Source organism: Homo sapiens, chromosome 20 (assembly GCF_000001405.40).
Source record: "Homo sapiens chromosome 20, GRCh38.p14 Primary Assembly".
In the NCBI taxonomy this organism is placed as follows: domain Eukaryota; kingdom Metazoa; phylum Chordata; class Mammalia; order Primates; family Hominidae; genus Homo; species Homo sapiens.
This window is the reverse complement of record NC_000020.11, coordinates 46,455,458-46,474,405: the sequence shown is the minus strand read 5'-3', so window position 1 is coordinate 46,474,405 and position 18,948 is coordinate 46,455,458. Positions and strand designations below refer to the sequence as shown.

The 18,948-nt window shown below is 41.4% G+C and overlaps 1 protein-coding gene and 2 pseudogenes across 3 annotated transcripts in view, besides 2 other annotated features; all 3 read left to right on the top strand.

Annotated features, from left to right (window-relative positions):
- ZNF334 (zinc finger protein 334) overlaps window positions 1–12,093 on the top strand; it is a 51,247-nt gene extending 39,154 nt beyond the window's left edge. The window contains exon 11 of the transcript XR_007067464.1: window positions 9,365–12,093. The gene's annotated coding sequence lies outside the window, so the exon portion shown is untranslated. The remainder of the gene's footprint in view (window positions 1–9,364) is intronic.
- On the top strand, window positions 9,114–10,746 carry MKRN7P (makorin ring finger protein 7, pseudogene; annotated as a pseudogene). The gene has a single exon (NR_026640.1). The product of NR_026640.1 is annotated as a makorin ring finger protein 7, pseudogene (transcript).
- Window positions 14,688–15,227: an enhancer, noted in NCBI's record as "H3K27ac-H3K4me1 hESC enhancer chr20:45087818-45088357 (GRCh37/hg19 assembly coordinates)". NCBI's record gives its function as "activates a minimal SCP1, AML or CMV promoter by ChIP-STARR-seq in naive and primed H9 embryonic stem cells {active_cell/tissue: H9 hESC(naive and primed)}" and the evidence as "EXISTENCE:reporter gene assay evidence [ECO:0000049][PMID:30033119]".
- Window positions 15,228–15,768: an enhancer, noted in NCBI's record as "H3K27ac-H3K4me1 hESC enhancer chr20:45087277-45087817 (GRCh37/hg19 assembly coordinates)". NCBI's record gives its function as "activates a minimal SCP1, AML or CMV promoter by ChIP-STARR-seq in naive H9 embryonic stem cells {active_cell/tissue: H9 hESC(naive)}" and the evidence as "EXISTENCE:reporter gene assay evidence [ECO:0000049][PMID:30033119]".
- Window positions 16,763–17,913, top strand: ZNF663P (zinc finger protein 663, pseudogene; annotated as a pseudogene). Its single transcript, NR_045983.1, has one exon. The product of NR_045983.1 is annotated as a zinc finger protein 663, pseudogene (transcript).
- Window positions 17,914–18,948: the final 1,035 nt, after the last annotated feature.

The window sequence follows — 18,948 nt, the reverse complement described above, 5'->3', positions numbered from 1 at the left end:
CTGATTTCCATTTTTTTTTTTTTTTTGAGATACGGTCTCACTCTGTTGCCCCAGCTGGAATGCAGTGGCATGGTCTTGGCTCACTGCAACCTCCACCTCCCACCTCCCGGGTTCAAGTGATTCTCCTGCCTCAGCCTCCCAAGTAGCTGGGATTACAGGCACATGCCACCACACTCAGCTAATTTTTGTATTTTTAGTAGAGACGGGGTTTCGCCATGTCAGCCAGGCTGGTCTCGAATTCCTGACCTCGTGATCCACCCACCTCAGCCTCCCAAAGTGCTGGGATTACAGGCGTGAGCCACAGCGCCCGGCCTTGACTCTGATTTTCACAAGACTCACCAGTGCATTTAGCATCCCTCAGAAGAAGTAATTGATGAGCTTAAGATCTGGAGAGTGCACAGCCAATTCCACGTGGCCATATCACCCAATCCATCTTTGAAAATTAATCATCAAACCAGTCCCTCTGCATTCTGGCATAATGGGGTCACATACAATCCCAATATACAATCACGTACAATCTCACTTTGGGTGACCTTCCCCTACCCTGTCAAGTGCAGGTATTAATTGATTATAAAACATGCTCACATAAAGTAAATATTTACTCATGTTTCCCAACTTTATAGCCACCCTGTACATTTGTAACTGGTTTGTCTTCCTCACTAGAATGTACACTCCATGAGGGAGCAGGATTTGTCTATCTTGTTCATTGATGAATAAATCCTTAGCAGCTAGGAGTCTGTATTTAGATAATATGTTCTCCATTTTTAAATGCATGATTGAAATCTGGGAAAGTGAGGACAGGAGGGGATGAAGAATAAATGATCTTGAATGGGATTGTTATCAAACTGAAGGAAATAAAAGGATAGTTTGAACTGAATCATAAGAAAGAACTGTCTATCAAGGTATAGTTAGAGCAGTTCTTAAGGAGAAGTTTATCATCTTACATGCATACAACTGAAAAGAATACAAGAAAAAATTAATAATGAAGCACTTATCTCAAGATGTTGGAACAGCAAAACAAAGTATAAACAAAGAAATACCAAATAGCAATCTGAAATAGAAACCATACAATGCAAGGAAGCAACAAAGTCAAAATTCAGTTATTAAAAAGACTAATAAAATTAACACTAATGAAACTTACTTAGAACAGAAAAGGTACAAATAATGAATATTGGAATACGAGGGTAGCCTGATAAACAGAAGAAATGAATCTTTTCAAATAAAAATAAGATTTACAAATGATGCATACATTTAAAATGTTATAAAAGAGAGGGATGAACAATTTATGCCAATAAAAGTGGACCAAATAAATAAACTTTTAGAAAATAAAAGGTACTAAAATTGACTAACTGATGCAGAAAGAGATAGAAAATATGAATAGGTCTACAACTACCAAAAGAATTAAATCAGTTGCTTTGGCTGAGGTGTCAACCCCGACTTCTCTGTTTCTAATATATCCACATCTAGTAATCAACAAATCCTGTCAGATTACCTGCCAAATATATTAAGAATTTGACCTCTTCCCATGATTTCACTGACACAACTCTGGTCCAAGCCACCGTCGTCTCTCATCTGGATTCCTGCTTCTACCCTTGCCCCCGTGCAGTCAGGGCAATCCCTGCCCTTAAGACAGAGCCACTCACTGCTCTCAAGTATTCTGGTGGCCCCCACATGACCCAGATTAAAAGCCTAAATCTTCACTCTTCCTTATGAGACCCTACCTACCTGACCTATTCTCCTGTTAACCCTTTATCCCTCTTCTTTTTCAGCTTCAGTAGCCTTCTTACCAATCCTTGAACACAAGGAGCTATTTAGGCCGTCCTAGAGTTTTTACACTTTGTGATTTCTCTGCCTGGGAGACCCTTCCTCCTGGAATCCACATGGCTATTTTTCTGGCTTTCTTAAAATATCGACTTAAAAGCTATCTTCTCAGGCCTTCCTTGGCCACTCAGTCTAAAATGTTAACCTCCTGCCATTTCATATTTCTTCTCCCTACTGTATATGTTTTTCTCTACTACACATCACCATTTAACTTACTATGTATTTTATTTATTGATATGGTTTATTATCTGTTTCCTCATTAGAATGGGGAACTTTATAAGGGGAGAGCTTTTTGCATATGTTCACTGCTGTCTCCTCAGGGTCTAGAACAGCAAGGAGGCCACCATAGCTGGACTATATTCCGCAAGGGGTGGAGTAGCAGGGGAGAAAGTCAAAAGAGTTAACAGGAAACAGATCATTTAGGGCCTCATAAGTCAAAGTGAGGACTTTGGCTATTATGCTGGAAAGACATGAGTGGACACTTGGAGGGCTTAGGAAAACTGAAGACCTAAATAAATGTAGTGATTACTATGTCCATGAATTAGAAAACTAAATATTGTAAAGATGTCAAGATTTGACAAGTTAATTGATAAATTCAATGCAATCCCTGTCAAAATCCTAGCAAGCTTTTTTGTGGAAATTGATGTTAACATTACAATGTACCTAGAAATGCAAATGGCCAAGAATAGCCCAGCCAATCTTGAAGAACAAAGTTAAGAGACTTATACTACCAGATATTAAGACTTATTTTAAAATTACAGTAATTAAGTATGGTGTTGGCATAAGAACAGATAATTAAAGGAAAGAAACAAAATATAGAACCCAGAAATAAACCTATATAGCTTATGAAAAAAGCCATACTGCAGAGCAGTGGGGAAGGAATGATCTTTTCAATAGATGGTGTTGAGTCATGTGGGAAATTATATGAGAAAGAAAGAAATCTACCTTTCACCGTATACTTAAATAAATCCCATGTGAATTTATCTCTAATTGTGAAAAGTAAAACAAAGCATTAGGTGATATAATAGGACAATATTTTCATGAATTTGAAGTAGGAAAAGGTGTCTTAAATAGGACAAAACCACATTAACCAGAAAGGAAAAGATTGATAAATTTGACTACATTAAAATTAAGAACTCCTGTTCCTCAAAAGACACCATTAAAAGAGTGAAAGAGGCAAGCCAAAGAATGGAAGAAGGTATTGGTAATAAATATACCTGACACAGTATTCTTATACTGTATATACACAAAACCTTTTTGAATTGATAGCAGACAACCCAATTTTAAAAATGGGCAAAATACTTGAACAGGCACGTCACACACACCCAATATCAAAATGGACAATAGGTATAGAAAAGGTGCTCAGCCTCATCAGTAATTATGAGAAATCGAATCCCAAAATGACATAGTACCACACAACCACCTAAAATTAAAAGGATTGGCTAAAACTAAAATGATTGACAATACCAAGTTTTGGCAAGAATGTGGAACAACTGGAATCACACACATTGTTGGTGAAGAGTGTATTTTTACAATTTCCAGAAAGAAAATATTTTAGCATTATCTACTAAAATTGAAGATATCTGTACCCTATAACTTAGCAATTACAGTCTTAGGTAATATCTTATGGAAATTCATGCTTTTGTTCACCAGAATTTGTGTACAAGAATGTTCATAGCAGCACTATAATGTCTATAAACTGGAAAAATTCAAACATCCATTAGAAGTAGAATGGATAATTATATGGCAGTGTACTCATATACTGAAATATTGTACAGTAATAAAAATAACATGCTAAACATGATAGCATGAACAAATGTCACAAACATAGACACAAGGGAACTTATAAAGTGTTTTTCCATTTATCTGGACTTCAAGTAACAGGCAAAGCTAAAATAGAGTGTTTACAGATGCGTAAAATGGAGTGTTTATGAATGCATGCTTGGGTGGTTAAAGTGTAAAGAAGAGATAGAATATAATTAGCATAAAAATATAGTGTTTATCTTTGGACCTGTCTCAACCCACTCTGTCCCTCGCGTTCCTCTCTGATAAAATGGCTACAGTGATTCCCACCTGCAGTATACCTTGAGATTGTGTTCTAGACTCCATTGGCCATAAGGCATCCCTCCTGCCTCTCCCACAGAAAGCCTCACATCTCAGGGTAGTTTCCTTCAGCTGAAATCACTAGCAATTTGGTCACCTCAATGGAGCACACAAAGGAAGGAGACAACCAAGACCTGGAATCAGTGCTTGCTTCACTTGAAGGGCCATTTGGGTGGAAGGCAAAGTAGGAGGAGGAAAGATGGAGCCAATAAGGGGTGGTGGGAGATCTCCTAGTGGGAGGGAATTGGCAGCCAGCCAGGGGACCTAGGCTTCAGCCTCAGCTCATAAAAATTATTGTAGGGCCTTGAAAAACTCACTGTCCCTCTTTGGCCCTAGTTTCTTTCTCTGTAAAATGAGAGAAGTTAAAATTAACTGTCTTTTATGGAGCACCTATTTTTTATTAGGTGGGTATTGTCCTAGGAGCTCTGGGAGCTCTACTATTTTAAATACAAAAGCCTGAGTGGGATGAATCTTGTCCCTATTTTAAGGGTAGCAATTGTGAGTATGAGATATGAGAAGTCACCAGCCAAGGGAAAAGACAGCTTAGAATTCTCCAACCCATTCATAATATGGTTAAGCAAGTGTGGTACTGTAGTGTGATGGGTCCCCCATCAGTTTGCTTAAGGGTGTATGTCTGCTGCCTGAACCCTGAAGGCGAGCCAATGAGCCAAGGTCATGGTGCCCAGCCAAGGAGCAGGTGTCCCTGTGAACCCAAGCATCCCAGAGGGTATCTAAGAATCTACAAGAAAACAGTCTCATTGCACACACAGTCGGCAAAGAGCCAGAAAATTTGCTTAAAAGTAGCTTAGGGGCCAGGCGCAGTGGCACACGTCTGTAATCCCAGCACTTTGGGAGGCTGAAGTGGGCGGATCACGAGGTCAGGAGATCGAGACCATCCTGGCTAACATGGTGAAACCCCGTCTCTACTAAAAAATACAAAAAAAAAATAGCCCAGTGTGGTGGTGGGCACCTGTAGTCTCAGCTACTCAGGAGGCTGAGGCAGGAGAATGGCGTGAACCTGGGAGGCGGAGCTTGCAGTGAGCCAAGATCACTCCACCGCACTCCAGCCTGGGCGACAGAGCGAGACTCCGTCTCAAAAAAAAAAAAAAAAGGAGCATAGGGCTGGGAGGCGGGGTGGATCTCTAAAGGTGTCCTGCTACCGTCCGGGAGTGCCTCATATGTAAGTCCTAATAAACTCATCTACTTGCCAAACTGGACTTGCCTAACTCACTTTTTGGTCTCTTGGCTCCCTCCCAGTTTGGGGGATAGTTTTCAATTATGATTCTGGGTTTTTCTTATTACAGGTATAGTGTTGTCTACTGATACCATTATTTTCACATGGTCAGTTTTTAATTATATATCAAATAAAATGAGTACATGTTTTTGTTGATAAAAAAAGTAAAATATTAGCAATAAGTCCCATTTAAGTTGATCTTCTCTAGAGAAATCAGTACTGTCATCAGGTCAGCGTGTATTGTTCTTGACTTTCTTTCCAAGTATTTACATCTATACATTTCAAATGAAACTATAGAAAATACCTAGTACAGTGCCACCTATAGTACAGGAATTTCAATTATACAAATTTGAAATGATACCAAAGAATGATCATATTAGTAATTATGTCTCATATTGAGGTAGGAGGTGAGATTCGACTCCAGAGGCAGGTCAGACTGCAGACCATGTTAAAGACTAGCTAAAACAGGGAAGAAGCAAAAGCCCCTCTCCATAAGACATGCCCACCCGTGAGTGCCATGTCAGTTTACCGTTGCCATGGCAACACTGGAAGTTACAGCCTCTTTCCATGGCAACAGCCTGACAACCTGGAGATTACCACCCTTTTTCTAAATATCTCTGCATAATCTGCCTGTTAATTTGCATATATTTAAAAGTGGGTATAGGCCCGGGGGTGTAGCTCACGCCCGTAATCCCAACACTTACGGAGGCTGAGGCGGGTGAATCACCTGAGGTCAGGAGTTCAAGACCAGCCTGGTCAACATGGTGAAACCCTGTCTCTACAAAAATACCAAAAAAAAAAAAAAATTAGCCAGTCATGATGGCGGGTGCCTGTAATCTCAGCTACTCAGGAGGCTGAGGTGGGAGAATCACTTGAACCTGGGGGTTGAGGTTGCAGTGAGCCGAGGTTGCACCATTGCACTCCAGCCTGGGCGACAGAGCGAGACTCCGTCTCAAAAAAAAAAAAAATGTGGGTGTAAACACAACTGCGGAAGTGTCCCTGAGCTGCTACTCTGGACACACCACCTATCGGGGAGCCCCACTCTACAAGCAGTATTTCTGCTGCTGTCGTGCACCGCCGCCTCAGTAAAAGTTACTGTCCAACACCACCAGGTCACCAAAAACTGTCCCAGGCTAAGCCCTAATCTGGGGGCTTGCCTGCCCTACATCAATATTAGGTACAAATTTCAATATCATACAGATCTCCCAAAGTTTCCAAAATTTGTGAGGAGTCATATCACTTATAAGCAGTAAAGAACACTAATTGTTCTTTGGTTATGTCAGTAACACTTGGCCATATCACTTTAGCATTAAAAACTAAAATAGACCCATTTAACAATCAAATCCATGACTACTAGTGTCCTGTGATGAACACATTGTTACTAATGCTTTAGAATATTCTAAATGATTATGTAACGTGGATCGCTAACATTTGCTTTTATTAAAATGTTAAGTATTTTAATTACTACACCAGTCTCATCCAAATATTCATTAAATAGTAGAGCTTTTAGAGGGTTTTAAAAAAATTCATGAAGATCAATTACTTTGAAGTGGAAATTAGATGTTATAAGATACTACAAAAACGCTTAGACAAACACCACAATGCACTGTGCAGTTAATTTAGTGGAGAAGACTCAATACAACATCAGAGCTAAAGCTGAGAAAATTAAAAAGGCAGCATTAGCGTACATATATTCCACAAAGGATGTAAATCTATGCCCCTGAGAATGCCTCCTCTCCATTCCATGTCTACTCCTAGGGGGATATTAGTGTTGAATGACACAGGTTTTGAATTTTCCTAGGCCTTTTGTAAACAAAATCCTGGCATAGACTGTACTATTGTTACGTGTGAGGGTGAAGCAGATTTTTAATTTTTCTTTTGGTTCAATTTTTTTCCCTGTATTTGGTATTTACATATATTTTAAACCCTTAGGAAATATGCGTTATTTTTCCCAAAAAATGCCTTATTTTTGTGTGGAAAGTGCATTTTATTTAAAAATATTGTAAACTCCAGCCATATCATTTAGAATATCCCTACATTGTATATTTTTTCTTTTATATTCTTGCCAGCAGGAAGACACCTGCATTATAATTTTTAATGGGTACCTAACATCTCACCTTATAGATTCCTACAAGTTATTTTATCCTTTTTTCACATTTAGATTTTTTACAGTGTATTGCTGTTAACATGAACTGTGAGAAATATACCTACACACATATTTTGGACAACTATTTCCTTAGGTCACATTAATAGAAATAGAATTAGTCTATTAAAGTGCATGCTCATTTTAAATCTTGGTGTGGAGTGGCCTCCAACAAACATGATTTGTTTTAGAAATTATATTCAAAAAAGTTATGAGAATTAACATTTTCCCAAACTGATACCCATCCTAGATATCATTTTTCTTTATAATCTGCCAACTTTATATAAAGGCCAAAAAGTGTATTTAAACATTTACATTTTTGGCCAGTTGTAGTGGCTCATGCCTGTAATCCCAGCACTTTGGGAGGCTGAGGTGGACAGATCACCTGAAGTCAGGAGTTCAAGACCAGCTTGGCCAAAATGGCAAAACCCCGTTTCTACTAAAAATACAAAAATTAGCCAGGTGCGATGGTGCGTACCTGTAATCTCAGCTACTCGGGAGGCTGAGGCAGGAGAATTGCATGAACCCAGGAGGCAGAGGTTGTAATGAGCTTAGATGGAGCAACTGCACTCAAGTCTGGGCAACGGAGCGAGACTCTGTCTCAAAAAATAAAATAAATAAATAAATAAATAAACATTTGCATTTTTAATTTGTAATTTATGGGCTGTTTTCACATATTTATTCTTCATTTGCATTTCCCTTTTATTACCTACCCTTCATATTCATAGATCATTTTTATGGTAGTGTAATCTTCTTATAAATGTGTAAGAGATAATTAAATGAAGTCAACAAACCGTTTCATATACTTAACAAATGTATTTTCTAAGTGTGTTTTTACTTGTTTTTATCTAAAAGCAAGATTTTAAATTTGTTTAGAGTAAAATTTGGCAGTCATTTCTTTTGTGGCCACTGCCTTTGATGGCTTGGTATTCTTACCTAGAGATTAGATAAGAAAATTTTTTTATATTATCTCTATATTCCTATTGGTTTACTGTTAAAAATGTTGAGCCAAAAGTCTACATGAAATTTATAGGGTATATGTGCTAGACGGATAATCTTCCTCTCTCCCATCAACACCTCTAGTTTCCTAACATGAATTCCCCCTCTTCCCCAGAAATTCCATCTTTTTCATATTCTAATTTTTTTTTTTTTAGACGGAGTTTCGCTCTGTCGCTCAGGCTGGAGTAAGTGGCACGATCTTGGCTCACTGCAAGCTCCACCTCCTGGATACATGCCATTCTCCCGCCTCAGGTTCCTGAGTAGCTGGGACTACAGGCGCTCGCCACCACGCCCGGCTAATTTCTTTTGTATTTTAGTGGAGACGGGGTTTCACCGTGTTAGCCAGGATGTTCTCAATCTCCTGACCTCATGATCCACCCACCTCAGCCTCCCAAAGTGCTGGGACAGGCTGGAGTGCAGTGGCACGATCATAGCTCACTACAGCCTTGACCACTCAGACTCACGTGATCCTCCTACCTCAGCTTCCCAAGTAGCTGGGACTACAGGTGTGCACCACCATGCCCAGCTAATTTTTTCTAGTGTTTTTTGTTTGTTTGTTTGTTTTGGTTTTTTAGAGATGGGGTTATATTATGTTGCCCAGGATGGTCTCAAACTCCTGGTCTCAAGTGATCCTGCTGCCTTGGCTTCCCAAAGCACTGGGATTACAGGCCTGAGCCACCGTGCTGGCTGGAGCTTACTGTTTTAAAGTTATTATTATCATATCATCATCGGCAGAAAAGAAACAATTGATATAAAAGTATATTGGCCTACATATCATCTTAACCATGGGATCAGTTAATTTTACCAAAAATGGGTATGTGGGATAAACAGTAACAGTGGAGGCTGCAGCTCCCAGAACAACAGCCACAATATCAGGAGCAGGACCTGCAGCAGCAGCTATCCCACCCCATCCCACAGTCACCACCCCCATCCCTGGGGACGGGAAGAAGGAGTGGCAGTAGCTGCAGCAACAGCTGAACTAAACAGGTCACCTGCTGGTATTTTGTGCATGGGATTTGTAAGGAAGGACATAACTGTCGCTACTTGCATTCCCTCTCTGACAGTCCACATGGCGTAGTGGGCAAGTATTTTCAGCGACGGTACTGTGTTTATGGAGGCCGCTGCAGATGTGAACACAGCAAGCCACTGAAACGAACAAGCAACTGCTACAGATCTAACTACAAAATCATCCCTTGCTGCTTCCTTAAGTCTCTCATTCATAGTTGGACCGCTTGTGGAAATGAATACAGGCGAAGCTGAGTCAGACTCAAACTTTGCAACTGTAGGAGTGGGTTCAGAGGACTGGGTAGATGCTGTTGAGTTTGTTCCTGGGCAACTCTACTGCAGCGTACACTGCCCCTTTCTGCAGTGACCAAGGGAGAATCAGAGAAAGAGCAAACAGCTGTGATAACAAGCTGCTTTGCCCCTAGGCTGCAGTGGGAGAGATGGAAATGGGTAGAACTGTGTGTATCTCCACAGAGAGTCATGTGATCATGTAAGCTGCAGGTCCTACCTCCAATGGATGCTGCCCAGAGACCACAGCATATAAAAATCTTGTCCTGAGGCCCATGAGAAGGAAACGGAGCTCTCATTTGCTGTGCAGTGCAGCAAGGATACGATGTGTGGGATCTGCATGGAGGTGGTCTGTGAGAAAGCCAGCCCCAGTGAGCGTGGCTTTGGGATCCTCTCCAGCTGCAGCCACGCCTACTGTCTCAAGTATATTCACAAGTGGAAGGGCACTAAGCTATTTGAGAGCAAGATCATAGTGTCCTACCCAGAATGCCGGATCACATCTAACTTTGTCATTCCCAGTGAGTACCAGGCGGGAGAAAGAAGAGAAGCAGAAACTCATCCAGAAAGTCAAGGAGGCAATGAGCAGCCAGGCGTGCAGGGATTTTGATGAAGGACAGGGGAGCTGCCCATCTTGGGGGATGTGTTTTTACAAGCAGGTATTCCCTGATGGCCATAGAAAGGATACACAGAGACAGGCAAACAGATACTGGGCCCAGTGAAGGAACCACTTCTCGGAGCTCATTGAGGAAAGAGAGAACAATGACCCCTTTGACAACAATGAAGAAGAGGTTGTCACCTTTGAGCTGGGTGAGATGTTGCTTATGCTTTTGGCAGATGGGGACGATGAACTGACAGACTTTGAAAATGAGTGGGACTTGTTCCATGATGATCTGGAAGATTTTTATGACTTGGCTCAGTAGCCACCTTGCGTGGCATGTGAACTGGCCTGCTGACCTCAGACAGCAGCAGTCCCCTGTGGTGGTGTGACAGTGCCCATGTTTCTCTCCTAGGCAGGCCTATCAACTCCAGGTGCTGTCTTAATAATTTTTACCTAGGGCCTGTCTTCTCAATCTGTGACCTTTCCCCAAGGAGTGTGTTATTTTCTCTGTGGAAAAAAGTTTCAAAAATAAATCCTGAAGTTAGTGTTTTGTAACATGAATTTAACAGTCAGACAGTTCGTGTAGGTGTGTTGTGTCATCTGTTTTCAACCAGATTGTGTTTATGGACTTTGCACGCTCATTTTGAGGACCCTGGGTTTGAAAGTAAAAGCTGCGGCCCTGCTTTGGGGTCCAAGGATAGGAGTGATGGGTGAAGGGATATGCGCTTCTAAAGAGCCTTCTGCTCCAACACAGGATGTGGATCCTTGACGTTTCTGCTGAAATCTGCACATCTGTGTTTTTATATCTGTTCCCTACCCTGTAATTCCCACCCTGTCCAACTTGCTCTGTGGTTTTGGTCTCTTGCTTAATTGTACACAAGTAATACTACTGGGTAACCAGAACCAGTTGTGAATGTGTTGAGATTTCTACTGTGTGTTTTGTTTGTTGTTTGTTTATTTTAGATGGAGTCTCACTCTGCCACCCAGGCTCCCTGGCTGGAGTACAGTCACACGATCTCGGCTCACTGCAACCTCCCCCTCCTAGGTTCAAGCGATTCTCCTGCCTCAGCCTCCCAAGTAGCTGGGACTGCAGGCATGCACCACCATGCCTGGCTAATTTTTGTATTTTTGGTAGAGACAGGGTTTCGCCATGTTGGCCAGGCTGGTCTTGAACTCCTGACCTCAGCTGATCCTCCCACCTTGACCTCCCAAAGTGCTGGGATTACAAGCGTGAGCCACCGTGCCCGGCCCTACCATGTTTTGAATGATAGGAAAATTGAGAAAGAATGTAAATAAAAGATAGAGGGGCATAAAATCAATGCAGAGTTGCAAGTTGACTCCCAAGAGCTTGGTGTGTGTGAGTGTGAGTATGTGATAAGCCTCTCATCCCTGCATAGATGCAGTATTCTTAGCCTTAGTAGAGAAACTTGGTTTAGTGGTTTAAGCCTTCTGTGGCAGATAGATTTTAAAGGACAAAGCAGTATATTGGTAGTTGTTAATATAGCAGTGCTAGCTCTGCCTGTCTATATAAAGAAAGAAATGGGGTTAGCCATAGAGTTAAAACTATCTGGTTATCCTACATATTAACACAAACTGGGGCTTGGATACAGAATTGTATTTACTGTTTACAATCTAGGCTTTCTAGTCCAGGCACTTTTTGAAAAACCTTTGTCACCATTCGAGGTGTTTTGTTGTTGAGTTTTTTGTGTTTGTTTTTGTGGGTATTTGCGTAATTCCACTTCTGATCTTTCAGGTAGACAGATGTGATTCAAAACTACATTCTAAGGTGTTTACTGTAGTGGAGTAATTGGCCTACAGTAATAAGTCACACTTTTCTGCTAAAGGGGAGGAGACGGTAATCCCAGAGACAAGCTAAGTTATTAAAAGAATTTCTATTGGAAATTTTGCCTTTGTGCTTTGTTGCTCTGTTTCCTGAAAATAACTTGGACCTGCTCCTGGTCTACCATTTTGTTCCTTGGATCCCACTCATTCTTTAACTTTAAGAAAAAAACAAGTAATTGTTGCTGTTTGGTTTTGAAGGGAAGGTGAGGGTTAAAGAAAGACACACAGAGAGAGTGGGGCTCAACAGCAACACAGGCATATTGCAAAAACCTGCAGAGTTGGGGGATCAGCTTAAAGCCAGAGTCTACCACCACTTACAGGCTGGGGTACTTATAGGTATGGGCAGGAGGGGTCTGGGCCATCTGGCTTACTGCCTGGCAGGATATTGATAAGATGTACCTGTGGTCAAGCAGTTTGGCCCTTTTTCCAGTGGGATGTGATAAGATGTTCCTTGGACCTTTGTTCAGCAGGGTATGATAGGGATGTCTCTTCAGTTGGGCCCTTGCCCGGCAGGGTATGATAGGAATATTTCTCATGACCCGAACCCCCGTGGAGTGTTTCACTTTGACCAAGGTCTGCGAAATGGCACGGGGCTTACAAAATGGTGCAGTTTGGACTAACAGTTGCCAAAGTCTCTGTATTTTGCAGCCGCCCTTTTGTAAGAAGTACATTTCCCAGGTAAAACAAAAAAAATTTTTACGGATGATGCTTTTCAGTATCTTTATGGAGTATGACCACAATGCACCAATTTAATATTGGAAAATGCCTATTCTTCATGGGTATAGATAATTTCATAGCAGGTATTCAGAAGAGTATTTTGTAATTCTTCTAACAGTGTTTTATTAAATTCTTTATTTTTCTATTACCATTTTAGTTTTGCATTTCTTAGTTTCAATTTATTATGTTATTCATTAAATAAGCTTTTAATTATTTACCATTACTTCATATGGTGTCATGCTTTTTTTTTTTTGAGACGGAGTCTAGCTCTGTGGCCCAGGCTAGAGTGCAGTGGCGTGATCTCGGCTCACTGCAAGATCCGCCTCCTGGGTTCATGCCATTCTCCTGCCTCAGCCTCCCCAGTAGTGGGGACTACAGGCACCTGCCACCAAGCCCAGCTAATTTTTTGTATTTTTAGTAGAGACGGGGTTTCTCCGTGTTAGCCGGGATGGTCTCAATCTCCTGACCTCGTGATCAGCCCGCCTCGACCTCCCAAAGTGCTGGGATTACAGGCGTGAGCCACAGCACCCGGCCTGGTGTCATGCTTTAGCAGTTATTCACATGAAGTAAAATTATGCTGTAAATATACATTTGTATAATATCCATTTCTTAGTCAGAAGACCTGCCTCTGTCTACTGCCAATTGGTGTGTGTTTTGGTTTGCTGGTGGAAAAATACTCTTTCAGAGCTCTTCTGAGTTTACGTAGTGTTGAGTGGCTTGTTCCTAGGGTGTTTGAAAGTAGGCTTCCCTTTAAATAATTTGAAAAGTAATCATCTTTTATTTAAAAACTGTATTCAGTTTGTATTCCTATACGTGTGTAAACTTTGAGAACTTTTTATCTCTTCAGTATGTGTTAATTTTAGTGTAAAAGTCATCATCCAACTTGAGTCAATACAAAGTCTGTGGTACTTTATATCTTTTGGCTACCTGTGCTAGATTTGTGATCAAGGAATTGTTACCAAAAGGGTAGATTAATAAAGGAGACTTGTGCGAAATTTTTTTTTTACCAAAAATGGGATAAACTGACATCATCCCACTGACCTAGCATGATATACCAAGAAGAACACAATATTCCTTATATAGGATTCCTGCCAAGAAATGTATAACCTGAATCAAATTATCAGGAAACACTCAGACAAACCCAAATAAAGGAACATTCTTCAAAAAAACTGATGCGTCCTCTTCAAAATTAACAATGTCTTGAAAGACAGAGAAAGGCCAAGGAACTAGATTAAAGTGGTCTAAATGATATGGCAACTCTGCGTAAAAATGATCCTCAATTGAACCCCGGATCAGAAAAAAAATTATAAAGGATATTATTAGAACAATTAGTAAAATTTGAATATGGTCTAGATTTTAGATAATAATATTATATCTGTTTAAGTTCTTGGATTTGATAATTGTGGTTATGTTTAAACAATTTTGATAATTGTAGTTATGTTTAAAAATTTTTGATAATTGTGGTTATGTTTTTAAAAAGCCCTTGTTCTAGGTGATATATGCTAAAGTTTTAGGGGTGACAGTTCATATTTGTAACTTACCCTCAAATGGTGATGAGGATGAGGAGAGAAACAGAAGGTGGGGAGGCAGATATTTGCTGTTGATGAATCTGAGTAAATGGTTTACAGATGATCCGAATGAATCATCCCTGAAACTTTTCTGTAAGTTTAAAATATTTCAAAATAAAAAGTGTAAAAGGGTAAGAAAATTATTAACAACATGTTCAATGAAAAGACCCAAATCACTCATTGAGATTTTGGGGTCCCATTTCAATATCATCTAACATTGGCCATGGTCATCTCTGGAAGGGGAGATTCTGAGTGTGCTTCTTAGATGAAATTTTCCTTTGATTTATGTGTATTTGCCATTATGTGAGGCTTTTACTTTTGAAATCCAGTTTCAGGTGGAGGTAATATTTGCATTCTGCGGAAAAAGCTTTCTGGTCGTGGTTATTAATCTTTTACTTATTGCTTTGCTTTATTTTCTATAAATATTCCACTATGTTGCTTGGCTTTCATTAATTTTGTTTTCAGATGTGCAGTTGACAAACTCCTTTCCTTCTCACGGTAGCTTTGCCTCTGAAGTGACACTGATTGTAAGTGGAGTGCATGCAAATCTCCTACCTGGTGGGTTATGAGGAACTAGGGCTCCAAATAAAAGTAAAGATGACTTTGGACCACAAATCCCCCAACTTGCCAAGTAAGCCAGAAACTCTTCAGACGTTCCTTAAGGAAGGGGGCGCGGAGACTTGTGGGAAACGGAGTCTGGAAGTTGATGGATCGCCCCGGCAGGGCCCCGGGAACCGGTCTTTGGCAGCCCCGTCTGCGCATGTGCAGACTTCCTCCTTGTTCCTTACTCCTGTCTCTGATCAGCGTGGAGCCTCCGCGTCTACGCGTAACTCAGCGACCAGGTGCTGCACTAACGATGCGCTCCGCAGGTGAGAGCCTAGCTTGGAGGGTTGCTTTGCGGGGCTTGGGGTAGGTTTGTGTTCACAGCCTGTGGAAGCAAAAACTTGCGCAAATCCCACGCGGGTTGAGACCCTCTGGCACTTGTTCCCGAGTCTGCCCTGCATCTGTCCGTCTAGAAAGCAAGTGACGGAGGAGGAGGTCCGCTGCGGATCTGCAGGTGCCACGAAGAAGATAAGGGCGGAGGGAACAGGTTTCCTGATCAGAATAAAGGGCTCCGGGAAAAGGCATTCACATGTTAAAAGAGCTGTTTCCAGAAGCTCCTCTAACTCGCAGGTGCCCTGGGCAACCATTCATCAGCTGGTCAAACCCACTACTCCAGCGGGGATGAGAACAATTCTTACAAAGTTTACTTTATGCTGTACTATCATTCCTACCTTAGCAAGCCTTATTGCAGATGCAGAGCCTGAGTTTGAAAGTAAGACGAGTTCACATCCTAGGTCTGTCACTGGCTCTCCATGAACACAGTGATGAACCTAAACTCTAAGACTCAATTTCCCCATCTGTAAAATGAAGTTATTTCTAAAACCTGCTTCAGGGTCGTTCTGAGTGTTGAATAAGAGAGCACCTCTAAAGCACTCCGCACAGGTCCTGACATTTTCTAAGCACTCTGGAAATGCGGCCTGCCTTTCCCACTGTTCTTTTCACTCGGTGTGTCATTTGATTCTCAAAGACCCCCTGTAAAGTCGGTGTTACCCACCCTATTTTAACTGAGAAGAAAACCAAGACTCTGGAGGTGAAGTCACATGGCTAGCAAGTGAAGGATCTGGGATGCAAGCCTCAGTTTTATTTCCAAATCGCATGCTTCACAGCACTTAGCAGAGTGGCATGTCTCTATGGGCCAACCGGAGTGTGTAAGGACTGAGCCTTCCCTTAAGGATCTTGGAGATTTCTTGGTATCTCTGCAGAACCCTGGGGGTACTGTGTAACTGAGGCCTCTGGGAAACTCAAGGTCCATCTGTTTGTGCCCTCCACAGTTCTCAGGTTCCCAAGGGAGATTTGCAGGCAGTGGTTTTCAAACTCGCATGCATCCGTATCACCTGAAGGGCCTGTTAAACCCCACCCCACGACTGGGCCCCACACCCAGCGTTTCTGATTCAGTAGGTCTGGGGAGAGCCCCAAGGATTTGCCTTTCTATTTAGTTCCCAGGTGATGCTGATGCTGCCAGTCCAGGGTCCACACTGAAAGCCTCTGTTGTAGGAGATAGTGAACTCCAAGAGAGAGTTGGAACCGGCTGAAGGTCCCAGTTATCTGAATTTATTCCCTCTCTCCCCAGCCAGGGTCACCCTGCTCCTGTGAGGAGGGGACGCCAGAAGCAGGAATCTCGCCTGGGAGGTTCCCACCCTCTGATAAAACGCACACAGCTGCACCAAGGACGTCTGGGAAAACAGGCAAGTCTGTAAGCGCTTGCTCTTGAAGCAATTCCCGATTCTTCCGCCCTGAATAACTCATCATGTCGGAGGTTGCCAAGAACCGTCGGTCAACGAAGGTGTGGGCCAGCTGTCACAGGACAGAGGTGAGCTGGGCTGAGGATGGCGAGCTGGACTGAGGATGGTGGGCAGGAGGCCGGCTGCGGGGGAGGAGGAACTCCCAGGTGAGTACCTGGTGCGCATGACGGGGAAGATACTATCACCACTCCTCTCGGAAACTCCTCCCATGCCCCTAATTCTTCAACCCCTCTTCCTAGATTTCTGCAGAGCCCTCAAACCCCACCCATCTCCACATCTGGAATTTAGGGACATGCTACCCACTACCTACTCTTGACTTTATAGGAGTACGGGGAAGCTTTTCAGCGGTTATGTAATTGTGCCTCATTTTAAAAGTGAAAAATATTAACACAGTGCTCAAGTGAATGGATCTGGGGCCGGATTGCCCGGGTTCAAAGCCCAGCTCCACCACATTGCTCAGTCTTCCCCTCGCTTTCCTATTCTATGAAATGGAAGTCATAATAGTAGCTATGCTTGGCTTTATTTTAAAGGTTAAATGAAGGAAGACATACAAAGTACTTAGAACAAGTCCTGTTATATAGTAACTACTATACAAGTATTGTCAGTATTTTTTTTTTGAGACGGAGTCTCGCAGTGTTGCCCGGGCAACACTATGAAGGAGAGAAACACTATGAATGTAATGAATTTGGAAAATTTAGCAAGAAATCAAACTTTACCCAACATCAAAGAATGTACACAGGAGAAAAACCTGATGAGTGTAAAGAAAATGAGAAAGCCTTGAAGAAGTTATACCATACTCAAAATGAGAGAACTCATGCAGGAGAGAAAGTCTATGATTGTAAGAAATGTGGGAAATTCTTTCATGAAAAAGCATGCCTTACTCAACATCAGAGAACCCACACAACAGGAAAACCCAGCAAGTGTAATGATAGTGAAAGAGTCTTGAAGGAATCTTGCCTCACTCCCAATCAGAGAATTAAAACAAGATTAAAACAAGAGAGAAAAACTGTAAAGGTAATAAATGTGAGAAACCTTTCTTTGAGAAGTTGAAACACACTCAACATCAGAGAAGGCACTTGGGGAAAAAAAATAATGGGCGTAATGAAAGTGGGGTGCCTCAAGTAGGAAGTCACAACTTACACAAAGCCAGAGAGCTCACAAAAAAAGAGAAAACCTATGACTGCAATAAATGTGGAGAAAGCTTCTGTAAGAAAACAGATCTCAGATAGCATCAGAGCACACACACACGGAAGAAAACCCTATGAATGTAATGAATGTGAAAAATCCTTCTTTGTGAAGTCCAACTACGCTGAACATCAGAGAACTCACACAGGAGAAAAACCATATGAATGTAATGAACGTGGAAAGTCCTTCTGCCAGAAATCAGCCCTCACAGTACATCGGAGAACTCACATGGGAGAGAAACTATATAAATGCAATGAATGTGAGAAAACCTTCTGTGTGAAATCAAACCTTACTCAACATTGAAGGACTCACACACGGTGAGAAACCCTATAAATGTAATGAGTGCTGGAGATCTTTCTATGTGAAATCCAACCTTGTCGTGCATCAGAGAACTCAGGAGAAAAATCCTACAGATGTCCTGAGTGTGGGAAAACCTTCTATGAAAAGTCAGCCCTCACAAAACATGAGCGAATTCACACAGGGGAAAAACCCTATGAATGTAATGAATGTAGAAAAACCTTCAGCCAGAGGTCAGCCCTCACCAAACATCAAAGGAAAACACACAAGAAGAAAACTATTATCAACACCCTCCATGTGCAGAAACCTGCATCTTCAAGGCAAATTTGTCAAACATCAGCAAAATCATAGGGCAGAAACACTAAGGTATTAATACATGTAGGAAAGTATTTGTTTGTAGGTTATAACGAATAGGAATTAGAAAATTAACATAGGAGTGAAACCACATGAATGCTTTGAACATGTGAAAGCTTTCAGCAAGTATTCAGAGCTGTGGAGGAAAAATTAATTTTAAGGTATATGAATGCAAAATGTTCTTGTGCATAAAATGTTTAGGTAGAAGTCATCTTTCAGATGTAATAGCAGAGTAATTAAAGAAAAGATTAGAAAATGACTTGTTCTTAATAGAATGTGAAACATGATCCTTTTGTAAAACTATGAATTATTTAAGTCATTGACACGATAGCGTTGAATATGTGTGAAGATTTCCTGAAGTATATTGGGCTATATATAGTTACATAGGATACGAGTGTGCTGTATAACATAAATTATGTGTATGTTGGATTTACACATGGGAACACAAC